The sequence below is a fragment of the Homo sapiens genome, chromosome 1, assembly GCF_000001405.40.
Source record: "Homo sapiens chromosome 1, GRCh38.p14 Primary Assembly".
NCBI classification, from domain to species: domain Eukaryota; kingdom Metazoa; phylum Chordata; class Mammalia; order Primates; family Hominidae; genus Homo; species Homo sapiens.
The window spans coordinates 10,499,453-10,515,587 of NC_000001.11; the positions used below are offsets into that span (position 1 = coordinate 10,499,453).

The 16,135-nt window shown below is 45.8% G+C and overlaps 1 protein-coding gene across 8 annotated transcripts in view, besides 3 other annotated features; it reads left to right on the plus strand.

Moving 5' to 3' along the window:
- The window catches only part of PEX14 (peroxisomal biogenesis factor 14), a 155,809-nt gene that overhangs the window by 24,503 nt on the left and 115,171 nt on the right, over window positions 1-16,135 (plus strand). The window lies entirely within an intron of this gene.
- Window positions 7,892-7,951: an enhancer, noted in NCBI's record as "active region_152". NCBI's record gives its function as "activates an Ori minimal core promoter by ATAC-STARR-seq in GM12878 lymphoblastoid cells {active_cell/tissue: GM12878}" and the evidence as "EXISTENCE:reporter gene assay evidence [ECO:0000049][PMID:35858748]".
- Window positions 7,982-8,041: an enhancer, noted in NCBI's record as "active region_153". NCBI's record gives its function as "activates an Ori minimal core promoter by ATAC-STARR-seq in GM12878 lymphoblastoid cells {active_cell/tissue: GM12878}" and the evidence as "EXISTENCE:reporter gene assay evidence [ECO:0000049][PMID:35858748]".
- Window positions 9,216-9,904: an enhancer, noted in NCBI's record as "H3K27ac-H3K4me1 hESC enhancer chr1:10568725-10569413 (GRCh37/hg19 assembly coordinates)". NCBI's record gives its function as "activates a minimal SCP1, AML or CMV promoter by ChIP-STARR-seq in primed H9 embryonic stem cells {active_cell/tissue: H9 hESC(primed)}" and the evidence as "EXISTENCE:reporter gene assay evidence [ECO:0000049][PMID:30033119]".

Consider the following 16,135-nt stretch of genomic DNA (forward strand, 5'->3'; position numbering starts at 1 on the left):
TTTTTTTTTTTTTTGAGATGGAGTCTTGCTCTGTCACCCAGGCTGGAGTGCAGTGGTGTGATCTCGGCTCACTGCATCCTCCACCTCCCGGGTTCAAGCGATTCTCCTGCCTCAGCCTCCAGAGTAGCTGGGATTACAGGTACGCGCCGCCATGCCCAGCTAATTTTTGTATTTTTAGTGGAGACAGGGTTTCACCATGTTGGCCAGGATGGTCTGGATCTCCTGACCTTGTGATCTGCCCACCTTGGCCTCCCAAAGTGCTGGGATTACAGGTGTGAGCCAACGTGCCTGGCCCCAAACTACAATTTTTTCTGTAACTGATGACAGCAATTTCTACTTTATCACCTTTTTCTGGGATTACTATTTTTTAGTATGCTGAATTCTTCAAAATAAAGATGCTCTGCAGTTGCAGATCTAGGTTGCGTCTCAGTAGTTTTGCTCTCCAAGTGCCAAAGTGCCCTCAGGTTTCTTCCTGAGGCTCAGATGGAACCTTGTCCAGGGGGTTCTACATCATGTATTTGATCTCAGTCCTGGGGAAGCTCATCCATCTTACCCCTGGGACACCCAAGATTTTCTCTTTGGTTTACAAGCCAATTAACCAGAGGCTGGTAATCAGAAGGCGTATTTTGATGGATTCAGGGAGCCAGTACTGTGATCTCTGTAAGAATAGGCAAGGCACGGTGCTCACGCCTGTAATCCCAGCACTGTGGGAGGCCGAGGCGGGTGGATCACCTGAGGTCAGGAGTTCGAGACTAGCCTGGCTAACATGGCAAAACCCCGTCTCTACTTAAAAAAAAAAAAAAATTAGCTGGGTGTAGTGGCAGGTACCTATAATCCTGGCTACTCAGGTGGCAGAGGTTGCAGTGAACCGAGATCGCGCTACTGCCCTGCAGCCTGGGCGACAGAGCCAGATTCTGTCTCAAAAAAAAAAAAAAAAAAAAAAAAAAAAAGAAAAGAAAAGAATAGCTACAGCCGGTTGCCTGTCTGCCAAAGACCTCTAACATGTATTCCTGGCACAGTCTCCTCAGCATTTGTGTCTTCTGTGACTTTTGTGGTTAGAATACTTTGGTGTACTTGTCGGCAGGTTCACTGTGGATAAGTGGTTCTCATTTTTTTTCCCACCAAAACATTTCTTTTTTTGAAGCGGTGTCTCGCTGTGTCACCCAGGCTGGAGTGCAGTGGTGCAATCTCCGCTCACTGCAACCTCTGTCTCCCGGGTTCAAGTGACTCTCTTGCCTTAGTCTCCTGAGTATCTGGGACTATAGGCGTGCACCACCACGGCCAGCTAATTTTTGTATTTTTAGCAAAGACGGGGTTTTGCCATGTTGGCCAGGTTGGTCTCGAACTCCTAGGCTCAAGTGATCCTCCTGCCTTGGCCTCCCAAAGTGCTGGGATTGCAGGCATGAGCCACCACGTCCGGCCCCACCAAAACATTTCTGAAGAATGACATTAACATGTTTCTTTGTGTGCACTCATGTATGCATGTGTATGACAATACATATATATTTTATAACATTTAAGCATTTTGTGGGGAAATAAAATTGATTTTGATGCTGTATTCATGAAAGTGTTTTACAAGCACATGGGTAATGAAACCAGCCATTTAGGGATTTCAGGAACTTGTCATTTTCCAGGAAAAATATATAAATATGACAAACCTAACTTTGAAGTATTAAACGTAATTATTTAAAAAGTCTGTAGTGGTTGATTTCTGTGCAGAGTTAGGTTTGCTGAAACTAGTTGTCACTTCCACCTCTTTTTCCTGCTCAGGAATGTCTGTCGGGATGCAAGTGATTGGGGGTGATATTATAGGGATAATTCAGAATCCGCCCTATCAGTTTATTTTTATTTTTATTTTTATTTTGAGATGCAGTCTCGCTTTTGCCCAGGCTAGAGTGCTGGAGTGCAGTGGCACGATCTCGGCTCACTGCAGGCTCTGCCCCCCAGGGTTCATGCCATTCTCCTGCCTCAGCCTCCCGAGTAGCTGGGACTACAGGCGCCCGCCACCTCGCCCGGCTTTTTGTATTTTTAGTAGAGACGGGGTTTCACCGTGTTAGCCAGGATGGTCTCAATCTCCTGACCTCGTGATCCGCCCGCCTCGGCCTCCCAAAGTGCTGGGATTACAGGCGTGAGCCACCGCGCCCTGCCCCTATTAGTTTATTTTTAAAAAGCAAATCATTGGCTGAGCGTGGTGGCTCACGCCTGTAATCCTTGCACTTTGGAAGGAAGAGGCGGGAGGATTGCTTGAGTTCCGGAGTTTGAGACCAGATTCGGCAACATAGTGAAACCCTGTCTTTACAAAAAATTAAAAAAAATTTAGCCAGATGTGGTGGCGAGTGCCTGTAGTCCTTGGGAGGCTGAGGTGGGAGGCTTACTTAAGCCTAGTGGGTTGAGGCTACAGTGAGCTGTGATACCCCCACTGCACTCCAGCTTGGGCAACAGAGTAAGACTCCGTCTCAAAACCCACCCCCCTGCCCAAACAGTAAATCATCTACAAAAATTTTGGTGCTTAAACCGTTACTAGCAACATATTCATCAGGGTGCCCCTCACAACTGCTGCAGAGAAACTTGGGGACTAAAATCAAGTATAAACCACGGATGGGCTCACGGTGCACTTCACTGAAGGTAAAATTGTCATGATTATCAGATCCAGCATCCTGGGCCTGAGATGTAAGCACTTTTCAGAGAGGAAAAAAGTGTTGGCTGTCCTCTTTCCTCACTCCTCTCTCATCAACAATATAAAGGTATCAGTGAAGAAAACGTTTTTAACACTAGTGTCCGTGTATACTGACTTCTGGTTGGGAAGGTGCCTGTGATTCCCACCTCCTCTGCCAGATCTGCCGAAAAAAGCTAAGAACTGGATGCTGAAATGGATGAACTTGAGCAAAGCCTCATACTGTTTCTGGGTGGTTATGATCTCTAGGCCACTTACTGGTTTTGAAATTACTGCCTCTTCCTACTCTGTCCTTCCTATCACAGACAGCAGGTTTATTGCATAGACTAGGCGGTGCCCTTTACATTGTTTCCTCTTTCAGGTAAATGAAGAGGTTGCTTTCCAGTTTTAAGGTGCCCTTTTACAAATAATTATTAGATGAATCGAAACTCTTAGGAGTAATAATTAAAGAAATGGAATTTGAAAAAGTTATTCAGCTTTGTTTGTACTTTAGGTTCCTGGCTTTTATAGTAATGCTTTATATTTGCTGTTGTTCCTGTAATCAGAGGCCCCAACTCTTGGATAAATGGGCAGTGTCCTTATTTCGAGGATATGGGAACTGAGGAACTGAGCACTCAGGTGCCTTTTATCAGAGCTACTCAGTGATTGGGGAAATTCAATTTTCTTTTTCTTTTTTTTTTTTTTTTTAATGACAGAGTCTTTCTCTGTCACTCAGGCTGGAGTGCAGTGGCACAATCATGGCTCGTTGCAGCCCCCCACCTCTTGGGCTCAGGTGATTCTCCCACCTCAGCCTCCCCAGTAGCTGGGACTACCGGTGCACACCACCATGCCCAGCTAATTTTTTAAAAAAATTGTGTAGAGATGAGGTCTCACTATGTTGCCCAGGCTGATCTCGAACTCCTGGGCTCAAGCGATCCCCCCGCCTCAGTCTCCCAAAGTGCTGGGATTACAGGTGTGAGCCACCACGCCCTGCCTGGAATGCAGTCTTTAATCTTATCCCTGGCATCATTCTTTCAGAGGGAAAAGTTCTGTTTCCTCCCTTTTCTCCTAGAGGCTTAGGCATGAGAATCACTTGAACCCCGGAGGCAGAGGTTGCAGTGAGCTGAGATTGTGCCACTGCACTCCAGCCTGGGCAACAGAGCAAGACTCTGTCTCAAAAAAAAAAAAAAAAAAAAAAAAAGAAAGAAAGAAAAGAAAAGAAAAAAGAAAAAAGATTATCCTGGAACATGTAGGCACTTGGTTATCTTAACCAATACAACAGTCAGCGGTTTTCAAACTGGGGGCTTTTAGATTTATCCTGAGTTTGCTAATCTTAGAGCTCCTTTACATGCCCTACCATTGCTGAAGACGTGATCTACAAAACTTTTATTTGGGCAGAGGAAATAAAATTTCCTCTGTTAAAATGTTTTTCTTTTGATTAAAATCAGTCATCAGTTTCAAAGAATTTTCATGTAAAAGTGTTTTTTTAAGTGTGATCTAAAGCATAGGTATTCCATGCGGCAAACTCAGGATAAATCTAAAAGCCCCCAGTGTGAAAACTGTTGACTGTTGTGTTGGTTAAGATAACCAAGTGCCCTACATGTTCCAGGATAACCTTTTTTCTTTTTTCTTTTCTTTTCTTTTTTTTGAGACAGTCTTGCTCTGTTGCCCAGGCTGGAGTACAGTGGCACAATCTCAGCTCACTGCAACCTCTGCCTTGGGGGTTCAAGTGATTCTCATGCCTAAGCCTCTTGAGTAGCTGGGATTACAGGCGCCCACCACCATGCCTGGCTAATTTTTTAATTTTTAGTAGAGATGGGGTTTTGCCATGTTGGCCAGGCTGGTCTCAAACTCTTGGCCTCAAATGATCCACCCGCCTCGGCCTCCCAAAGTGCTGGGATTACAGGTGTGAGCCACTGTGCCCGGCCCATTTTCCAGGATAATTGTAATTTAAAATATTTTAGCTCATTGTCAAACCACGCAGAATGATTTTTGGCTCAAAAAATATGATCTTGTAGTTAGTCCCACTTCTGAGCTGTGAGAAACCGCAGGAAGATAAAGTGGTGCTTTGGAGAAGGACGTATTCACCGCCCTTCCTTCTTCCCTCCCAGCTCTCCTTTCTTTTATGGTTTGTAGTTATAACCGAGATTTATGCTTGTTGCTCCACAAATCTTCTCTCTGCCATTATGAGTTTGTCTGAACAGTCTAGAGATGGGGCCGACACTGAGTGATTCTTGAAGTAAATCTATCCAGGGGCACTCCTTGACAGTCAGAGGCAGAGAGGAACTAACTCATAGCCCCCAGTGGAGCAGGAGTCTGGATAAATTACCCCTGTCAGGAAGAAGACATGCTGCCACTTTTGTGACCTCTTGCCTTCACAGTGACCCTGGGGGCACAGCTCTCCTGTTTGTGTGCAGAGTGTGTGGGGCGGTGCTCTGGGTCAGCGATCATTCCCTTTACCCAGCTGTGTCTGCCAAGAGGCCTTTCTCTCTGTGTTGGCCCAGCCAGGCCCGTGGCAAGTGGGTCTTTAGGACCAGGGCCACTTTTTGCAGCCGTATGGTAGCAAGGAGTTGCTGACAATCAAGCACACAAGTTGATTGATTCCTTTTCCTTTTCCTTTCCTTTCCTTTCCTTTCTTTATTTTCTTTCTTTCCTTTTCCTTTTCTCTTCTTTCCTTCCCTCCCCTCCCCTCCCCTCTCCTCTTTTTGTTTCACTCTGTCAACCAGGCTGGAGTGCAGTGGTGCCATCTTGGCTCACTGCAACCTCCGCCTCCCAGGGTCAAGCTGTTCTCCTGCCTCCTCCTCAGTAGCTGAGATTACAGGTGTGCGCCACCACACCCAGCTAAGTTTTTGTATTTTTAGTAGAGACGGAGTTTCAACATGTTGGCCAGGCTGGTCTCAAAACTCCTGACCTCAAGTGATTTGCCCACCTTGGCCTCCCTCCCAAAGTGTTGGAATTACAGGCATGAGCCACCATACCTGGCCAATGATTATTTCTATAAATGGTTTCATTTAACTAGCATTTACCGACAGTGGATTTTGATGGAGAAGGAGAATAAAGAACAGGTATTAAACATCTTTTAGGCTAGGTATGGTGGCTCACACCTGTAATCCCAGCACCTTGCGAGGCTGAGGCAAGAGAATTGCTTGAGCCCAGGAGTTTTGAGATCAGCCTGGGCAACGTGACGAGGTGCCATCTCTATAAAAAATGCAAAAATTAGTGGGACATGTGGCTCGAGCCTGTAGTCCCAGCTACTCTGGAGGCTGAGGCAGGAGGATTGCATCAACCCAGGAGATTGTGATTACAGTGAGTCTGGGTGACAGAGCGAGACCTGTCTCAAAAACAAAACACAATCTTTTTTCCCCCCCTTTACCATACTTTTCCTTTGCTGTATCTTGTTGTCTTGTGTGTACTTTGAAATTTTTATTTTATTTAAATTTTATTTAAATTTTTATAGAGACAGGGTCCCACCGTGTTGGCCAGGCTGGTCACAGTCTCCTGGGCTCAAGTGAACCTTCTCTTTAGCCTCCCAGAGTGCCAAGATTACAGGTGTGAGCCACCCGGCCCAGCTTGTGTGTATTTTTTTTTTTTTTGAGACGGAGTCTTGCTCCGTTGCCCAGGCTGGAGTGCAGTGGCATGATCATGGTTCACTACAACCTCCGCCTCCCGGGTTCAAGTGATTCTTGTGCCTCAGCTTCCTGAGTAGCTGGGATCACAGGTGTGTGCCACCATGCCCAGCTAATCTTTGTATTTTTAGTAAAGACAGGGTTTTGCCATGTTGGCCAGGCTGGTCTTGAACTCCTGGCCTCAAGTGATCTGCCCGCCTCAGCCTCCCAAAGTGCTGGGATTACAGGCTTATGTGTACTTTTGAGAGTCGTTTAGAGTCTTTTGTGAAATGAAGCAGGGGTATCAATAAGAACATATTTTTAAAACTGTGTCAAGAGCTTGCATTTGGCATCCCTGTCTGACCAACTTGCTGTTTGGGTCCCATGGAACGTACTCACCAGGCTCTTGGTGCTCTGAACAAGGCAGGTCCTCAGCCAGTCTCTCCCACACTCATCTGTACCCCAGGAGCTAGTTTGTCCCTAAACCTGTGTCCTTGTATTAAACATGATGTCAACAGGTGAACTAAGAGTGTGAAGAGAGGGTTCTGCAAATATAATGTGTTCTTTTTTTGTGTGTTTTTTTGAGATGGAGTTTCGCTCTTGTTGCTGCCCAGGCTGGAGTGCAATGGCATGATCTTGCTCACTGCAACCTCTGCCTCCCAGGTTCAAGTGATTCTCCTGTCTCAGCCTCCTGAGTAGCTGGGATTACAGGCATGCGCCGCCATGCCCGGCTAATTTTTTGTATTTTTAGAGACGAGGTTTCTGTATGTTGGTCAGGCTGGTCTTGAACTTGCGACCTCAGGTGATCCGCCCGCCTCGGCCTCCCAAAGTTCTGGGATTACAGGCGTGAGCCACCACGCCTGGCTATAATGTGTTCTATAAAAAGAAATGTGAAAAGAAAGTTTTATGAAAACTAAGTTAAATGCTTTGCTAAATGTGAATTGCTAAAAACATTGCTGTCAAATTAGGTGTGAGCGAGATGACAGTTAAACATTAGAGGAAGATCATAAACATCTAGAAGGATTCTGTACTTTGATTGCTTTACTGATGTCTTGAAGTTCTTACTTTGCTTTAGAAATTGTGGAGGCTGTGTTATGGGTAGGGTTTATGCAAGAAAGACGTCTGGGAACTTCAGTCTGTGGGCCCACACTCAAAGCAAAGGGCTTGGCTTTACATCAAAAGATCAGCAGTGACTGAATGTTTATAGGTTTTCAGTTAATAGAAAATGTTTTCAGTATGTGGAGCAGGTTCCATTTTTGATTCCCTGCTTTAACTGATTTTTTGATTAACCGAACAATTACTAGCTCCGATCACATAGGCCAGGAGGGCTTCTACTCTGTAATATTCTGGCCTCGCTGTTGGTGTCTTTATTTTGGTCTCGCTGTTGGTGTCTTTATTTTGGTTACTTTGTTTGATTCCAACAAATTTGTGAGAATTACTCATTTTGCAGTGAGGAGACTGAGCCCAGAGCATTCAAGTTCCTACAGCTAAGAAGTGGCAGGACTGGGATTGAAAGCTGGTGTCCATGCTGCTGAACCTGTGCAGACGGGGAGAGCAGGTATGGGTGCGGTGTGGACCGCGCTGTCAGGCACACTAGCGTGCGTGCGGGGCGCCCGCTGCACAAACGTATCTTCAGCCGATGCTCAGTGCTGCCTGGTGATTCTGTACCTCCTTTCTGAGGCTGCTGCCTTAGTGTGCTCTCCGTGGTTGGAGTCTTTTGTGTGCATCTTAGCTGTTGAAAAGGCGCCTATTAATTTATCACAGGTGATGTGTGCCTCCTTGTGCTCAGAGGAGGCGTCTGCACCCATGTACCTCACTAATGACAGGTTATGGGATGGAGAGGAGATAATAGGATCTTTTCATGTGATGTCTATATAGCAAGGTGCTATGCCCCTGGTAGCTTCTAGGGGGCAGCAGCCGCTTGTTGTTCTGTCTCTTGCTGGCGGGGAGAAGGTTGGACAATTGAGCAATTTGCTCTGGACTCCAGCTCTTAAAGTGGTGCCTGCAGGTCTCCAGGGAGTCACTGGAATCCGCATAAGTAAAGAAAATACAATATCCAGGATCTTTTATTTCTACTTTCTCTGCCCCCTCAGGTAAATCCTTTATCTGTGTTTCTATCAACATCCACAAATTCCTCATTGTCAGAGTTAAGGCAGCAAAGTTCACCTGCTTTGAAGATAAGAGAATAGAGATGTCTTTAAGAGAGTAAAATCTTTCTGTCAGATCTTACTTGTTGCCAAGAGCTAGACATTGATAACCCACTCAAATAATGTTTAGAGGTTTTGAAACTTTCCCCCATGGGCACGTGTCTTTAATTCTGTTGGGAATACCACTGTCATATGGTTGATTACCTGTTCTTCCTGTCAGCATTTCCCCCCAACCCCACTCCCTCCCCCTATCCAAACTAGTCTTACAGAGGTTTCTCTTCAATTCTAAATGACTTATTTCAGAAACACATGAAGGGGAACATTGCAGATGTGCCATTTTTTTGTTTTTTGTTTTTGTTTTTTTTTTGAGACGGAGTCTCGCTCTGTCACCCAGGCTGGAGTACAGTGGTGCGATCTCGGCTGTCTGCAAGCTCCGCCTCCCGGATTCATGCCATTCTCCTGCCTCAGCCTCCCGAGTAGCTGGGACTACAGGCGCCCGCCACCATGCCCTGCTAATTTTTTTGTATTTTTAGTAGAGACGGGGTTTCACTGTGTTAGCCAGGATGGTCTCGATCTCCTGACCTCGGCCTCCCAAAGTGCTGGGGTTACAGGCGTGAGCTGCCGCGCCCGGCCTTGGATGTGCCAGATTTTTAGATTGGGGGCCCAAGACTGACATATGGGCAACTTGTGCCTTGTCAGAGTGAGTCCCAGCTCCCTCCCCCCCAGAAGTGCACCTCCTACTGTGCCCTCTGAATGCTCCTGCCTGCCAGATCTTCCAGCTGTGTGGCTGAGGCAGGTGCCCAGGAGGAGAAAGGCTGGTTGCAGGCAGAACCAGATGGTTGCAGTCCACACGGGGAAGCAAATTGGCCGTGACATTTCAGCCATGTGAGGTTTATTTAGGATTAGCTAAGAATTCTCAGCCTTGACTCCACTGAGGGAGGAGCGGGTGACCTAGGGCCACTTTCTTGTGGCTTTGCATTCTTTCAGGCTTTCATCTGAAGATCCCAGGGTACTGGGGAAGGGTGGGAGTTTCCATCCAGCTCCACTGCAGAGAGTGGCATTCCTGAAAGACAAAGGCATGCCTCCTTTTTTTTTTTGAGACGGAGTCTCGCTCTGTCGCCCAGGCTAGAGTGCAGTGGTGCGATCTCGGCTCACTGCAAACACCGCCTCCTAGGTTCACGCCATTCTCCTGCCTCAGCCTCCCGAGTAGCTGGGACTACAGGCGCCCGCCGCCACGTCCGGCTAATTTTTTTGTAATTTTTTTTTGTTGTTAGTAGAGATGGGGTTTCACCATGTCAGCCAGGATGGTCTCAATCTCCTGACCTCATGATCCGCCTGCCTCGGCCTCCCAAAGTGTTGGGATTACAGGCGTGAGCCACCGCGCCCGGCAAAGGCATGCCTCTTAACCTCACCTCTCCAGCTCTCTGTTGTCTGAAAAATGGCAGTTAATAGAATTTGTTAATAAACAGAAGAAATAACGAGAAATAGTGGCACATCATTTGACAGTAAGGTGGTTTATAATTTCTGTTTATCAAATGATTCTCATTATTATTATTTCTATTGGATTTTTGAAGAATTCAGCCTGGTCCCCAGAGCCCCATTTGTAAGGCATTTTATTTCTTTATAATATCTAGAAATAACTTCAGTTCCAGTGAAATCCAGATCTGTGGTCCCATCCCACTCCCCAGCCCTGGTTCTCTCCCCTTCCTCTCTGCTTGTCTTCTGTGACCTCAGCGGGCTCCATCAGGTGGGGGTATCCCCTACTGACCAGACTGGCAGAGCTAATGCCGGCTGGAGGAACGCTGCCGTGTTTGTTTTTGCAGTTCCTGGATTTGGTTTAATGTACAATTGATTTTTTAAATGTATTTAATCATTTTTTTCTTACCTCTTAAGGATTAACCTGCACAAACCTCATTTTATCCTAAGTGTGGCTTTGGGAGGAAGGGAGGAGAAAATTGAGTTTCTCCAGCTTATTTTATTCTTTTACGCTTTATTTTCCAAATGGCTTTTCCTGCCGAAGCAGCTTTGTATAATACAATGTATTTTCGTGGCCATTACTTACTCATTACTAACTGGTCTCTCCTGCTTCCCTTTGTCTGTGAACTAAATACAGGGGGCCTCAAGATAATTGGTAGCTCCATCACTGACCCACCAATTATAGATCAGCAGGGAAGGCAGCCCAGGGATGGTTTGTGGTTGGCACAGGCTGCCCACCTAGAAATGTGAGTTATTCTCTACCTGCCACCAAGTTGGGCTTGACTAGATCGATCCTTTCCTAATTTTGGACTTTGGCATCTCTAATTGCATCACACGGCTCCCTGGTTTACAGGTTTCAGCCTCATTTCATCCCTACACGTGCTGCTGGTGTCTTTCTTAGTTCATGCCTCCTTGGCATGTCTACAAAGTATTAATTTGCAGAGGTTTTGTTTGTATTTTCCTTTGAGGTTCCCTGGTGCCTAGAATGGTTAGATGGCAGGCTGCAGATAAATAATTCTGTTGAAACAGCAGGTTTCTGTGCATTTTTGTCTGGTGTGTCCAAGTAAAGGCAAGTCTTTGTGGGCACCATATTAAGCCCCCTTTTTGAGCATTTATCTGATTTGTGTTCCAGCTTATCTACTTTGCTCTGGCATGGAGAAGGAAAAGTCCCATTTCCTGCTAGGCTGCCAGGCACTTATGTAAGACTTTTAGGTGCCAAAGTAGGAAAGGAGTCCCTGTGTTGTATGGCCGTATATATTTTGCATGTGTGTTTCCTGGCTGTTTGGCACCTAGGCACTTTGCTAAGCCCTGTATGGGTTGGGCATATACCGTATTGCTCAGCTCCTGGCAGAAAATAGGCACTCATACATATTTGTGGAATGAGTGAGTGTGTGTGCTCACTTATGTGCGATGGAGATGATGAGCCAAGGAGTTGGATTGCACAGTTGCTGCCTGGCGTCCTGCTAGGAACTTAGGGTGCAACATTCCCACTGGGCCACACATATGCCGATGTTCAGTGGATGACTGCTACGCAAGCAACATAAAGAGGCCATTTTATGAAAGGGAACATCAGAGGAAACATTATAACTGAGACCTTTATAGCCTTTCCATTATTATGGTTTAAATCTTGACAGTCTTTATTTGCAATGACACTGGGACCAGTAAAGACAATGCTCACTCCCACCTCCTCGTTCTCCACATCCTGTTCCGTAGCTGTGGTGCACCGATAGGCATCGTTAAATGTGCAGGCAGCAGAGCTGCTGGTTTGTCTAGAAACAGCCCCTTTTGACTCAGAAGTTGGAACCCAGATGACTCACCATTCTATTTGTTTTATTGCAACTGTCATTTCATAAAATGCCCTGACAGCTTTAAACTGTAAATGCCAAAGTGAGGTTTTTGTCTTTTTTATTTTGTTATCTCCTGTTTTTTCTAATCTTTTATATTTCTATTTTCTCCTTTCTTTTCAGACTTATTTTCTCTTTCATTACTGTCTCTTTCTCTGTCCCTCCCTTCCTTCCTGCCTCCCCCCTTTGATGACTCTAATGGCATGAGTAGTTGAAGTGGTTTTTGCTAACATCATGGTGCGTTCTTTCCAGCTTTAATGCTATCTGATTGAGCGTGTCTCCCCTCAGATTTTTGTGTAGGGTTTAGAAATGGAAATGACCATGCACATCAGAGTTTAAATTTTCCTAGGAAAGTCTGCCATGAACTGTAGGACCTATAACTTCTAGAGATGGAGGGACCCCTGACATCTGTGGACTATGGACTCCTGACTTCTGTGGACTCTAGAATTTATGACTTCTGTGGATTGTGGGGCCTCTGACTTCCATAGACCGTGGGACTGTGACTTCTGTGGACCCAGGGACCTCTGAATTCCATGGACTGTGAGACCTCTGACTTCTGTGGCCTGTGAGATCTCTGACCTCTGTGGCCCGTGGGACCTCTGACTTCTGTGGTCTCTGGGACCTGTGACCTCTTTGACTTCCAAGTCTTCTGTGGACTGCAGGACCTCATCAACACGTGTATTGCCAGAAGAGAGGCTTGATTGTGTTAACCTGTTTCTCTCCAGAGGTGTCACATACTAGAATTTCTGCTCAGTCTTATGGCTTAGGTGGGGTGTTGAGTCTAAATATATATATTTTTTGAGACGGAGTCTTGCTCTGTCACCCAGGCTGGAGTGCAGTGGCATAATCTTGGCTCACTGCACGCTCCGCCTCCCGGGTTTACGCCATTCTCCTGCCTCAGCTTCCCGAATAACTGGGACTACAGGCGCCTGCCCCCACGCTCGGCTAATTTTGGTATTTTTAGTAGAGACAGGGTTTCACCATGTTAGCCAGGATGGTCTCGACCTCCTGACCTCGTGATCTGCCCTCCTCGGCCTCCCAAAGTGCTGAGATTACAGACGTGAGCCACCGTGCCTGGCCCAAGTCTAAATTTTTAAGGACTAGAGCTCTCAGACCAGGACTTTCTGGATCTTTTTTTCTGATACCCAACACTGTGGCACTTGACTAAGTCACCTGATTGATGACATGAGCATTGCTGGGTGTTGAAACACCTGGCCAGGGAAACAGAGACTTCTGTGGATTCATCCAAAGGATGGCAGACAGATTGTGGAATTTTAATGAAGGTGGGGTGGATCCCTGATGTTCGCCTGCTTTGAAGCATAGCAGAATCCCAGCATTAACTTCAGGGGTGTTGGTTGGAAACCTGCACTGGCGTCGGTGGTTATATTCCACATTTGTCAAATCCTTAAATCCAACTGAACTAATTTTAGAAGTAGCTAGTTATAATGAAAAAGAACAATATATTCAGATGCATAGGATCGTTTTTAAATGAAATGCTCCCTGTTCTTTTCCTTCTTTTTTTTTTTAACTTTTATTTTTTATGATGGAGTCTTGCTCTGTCGCCAGGCTGGAGTGCAGTGGCGTGATGTCGGCTCACTGCAACCTCCGCCTCACGGGTTCAAGCGATTCCCTGCCTCAGCCTCCTGAGTAGCTGGGACTACAGGCGTGTGCCACCACGCCCGGCTAATTTTTTGTATTTTTAGTAGAGATGAGGTTTCATCGTGTTAGCTGGGATGGTCTGGATCTCGTGACCTCGTGATCCACCCACCTTGGTCTCCCAGAATGCTGGGATTACAGGCGTAGGCCACCGTGCCCGGCCCTTTTCCTTCTTTTATAAAAGGCCTTTGGTCTCTTTTGGCCTTCAGGGTGAGCCATCCTTTGACTTATATTAGAATACATTTTTTTTCCTGTATGCCTCCAATGAAGGAGAGTGTGAGAGTGTTTTCTATGATGTGAGTGGGAGAAAATAGCGTGTTTTCACAATAGTTAACAAATTGATGGCTGTGAGTTTTGAAAGTGAGTTCTGTATATACACTGGGGTAGGATTCCACATAGAATGCTGTTTTTCACCCACCTGGCTGGTTGTCTGATTCTAACATAGCTGCTATCCCTGATTCTAGAAATCAGAAAACCACAGGCTGTTCACATAATACTCTACCCTTCTGAGGCTAAGGTGGGAACAGGATGGTGGCGGGGTTTGAGTCAACATGGTCTCAGTTCCCACCAAAGACCAGTGTGTTCCCCTGTTCCAGCCGACAGCTTGAACAAGGATTCTAAAGTTTCTGGCCGTTTTAATTGAACTGCAGTGAGGGGTGGCCCGATAGCCTGCTTAGGACATGGGTAATTACTCCTAGGGCCTGGGAGCCAAGTGTCCCTCGCAGGTTCCCTCTTGGTTCTCTACCTAAGGATATCTTCCCCTTCCCTGGGCAGGGCCTCTGAGGAACAGAAGGATCATTTAGTGCTCATGGCCTGCTCATTCCTTGGCTTCTCTGCTGAGCTATCCAGCAGGGGTGCCAATTCTTCCATTTAGCTGACTATTATATAGCCCTTAAAAGGGAAGGGTTTATTTTAGCTGGCTGCTATATTGATTGCTATAGGGACGTTTCTATTTTCACTGGCTGCTATATTGACTGGGAAAGGGAAAGGGGCCGTATTGCCGGGAGCTGTCATATTGACTGTTACAGAAAAGATCTGTATTTAAGCAGTACCAGTGCACTGGGATCTCCCAGGCAGGATATTAATGCTAATTCATCCGCTCACCCCCTGCTGTGAGTGTTATTTGTTTAAATCTGTAGATTCCCACAGCGCGTTTATATCCTCACTAGAGTGAGCTCCGCTCCCTGTAATTATTTAACATTATATGCTGATATAAATTGTAACAGTTAAAGAATGGTAATGAGTAGCCAAAAAAGAAAAAAAGAAGAAAGAAAAGAAGGAAATAGAAAAAAAGGAAAAAATGTATAAAATAATCTATGCCTCTGTGTGTGTGTGTGTGTGTGTGTGTGTGTGTGTGTGTGTGTGTATGGTGTTAGAAACGGCAGAGTCACCTTCTAAAACAGCAGTGAGAAACTTCTGTCATCCTTTCTCCCAGTTCAGGTTGATTTGTACGGTGCTGCTCAGCCCACGTATTGTGCATCTGTATGTGTGTATGTGCGAGCGCCTGTGTACGCACGTGGTCGTCACCCGCCAGAAAGATGCCATAGTGAGGTGTGCTATACTGTGTTGTTTGTGCACGTGTGTAACAATATACAGTGTTTGTTCAATGTCCTGGCAGGAAATTGGTCTATTAGCGATTCACCTTCTTGGTGAGTAGCTAATACCTTATTTTGTTCAAGGTTCCACGTTCACACAGGAACTTTGGGCCTAAGACGCAACTCAAGGGAAAGCCATTGGGGAATGCTCAGTTGGGATTGAACTAATAGGCCATTGGGTGTCACTGTCGCTCTACTGGCTATAGGAGAAAGAGGGGTTATCTGCTGGGGAAACTGGATTTCAAAAGAAAGAAGTTTTTCTGCTTGAGTTGGAGGTGTTGTCTCTTTGAGATGTTTGTCTCTCATTTGGAGATTCCTTTAAAAAAGTAGTTGTTTGCTTGTTTTTGCTACACCAAGCTTCTGGCATTTTTATTGTTCTTGAAAATTGTGTACTGATTGCGATCTGTTCTGCTATCACCTGCAGTGCATCTAGATGAGAACTTCTGTGTGCAGAAAACTGTCCCCCTTAAAAGCCTGGGTAACAAGGAGAGCTGATTTGGGCAAGAACTTGAAAAAGGAGGGAGAAAATCTCCTTGGGCAAATGCTTGCCACTCCCCTGCCGCCTGCCCCTGTGTAGGTGGGAAGAGAGCGCAGAGGGAGAGCCAGGCTGCTGCCTGGTCACAGAAGAGTGGGCTCCGTCCTCCAGCGGGCTCTCCAGCAGCATGGATCTGTGCCAGGCTTCACCACAATTCATACTGTGTCAGTTTAATAAATGCACTACTTAAATTATGAAATTACAAAAGAAAAAAGAGAATGCACTTATTCAGACTCTTAATACATTAAAAATAAGGCATTAAAACTCTGACTTTTTTTTTTTTCTTCCAGAATCAATAATGAACAGGAAGGGTTGTAGACATTAACAGTCATGGACATTCAAACTCTTATACATAAATTATCTTAGAAAAATGCACATAAGACTTGAATAATGTAAATACATTAATGCATTTAATAATTTAAACATTAAAGCGCAAGCAGGAATTTGAGGCCGAGGCTGTTCTGAGGTAAGGGATTGGTCCTAGAACTCGTGTGTCCCAGGATCGATGGGTGATTTCCCCTTGAGACACCCTGGAAAGAGAGTGCCTGGCCGGCTTGTGTGGCCGAGGATCCCTGGACATTCCTGATCTCAGCTGCCTCCCAGCCTCTTATTTTTGTGTATCCT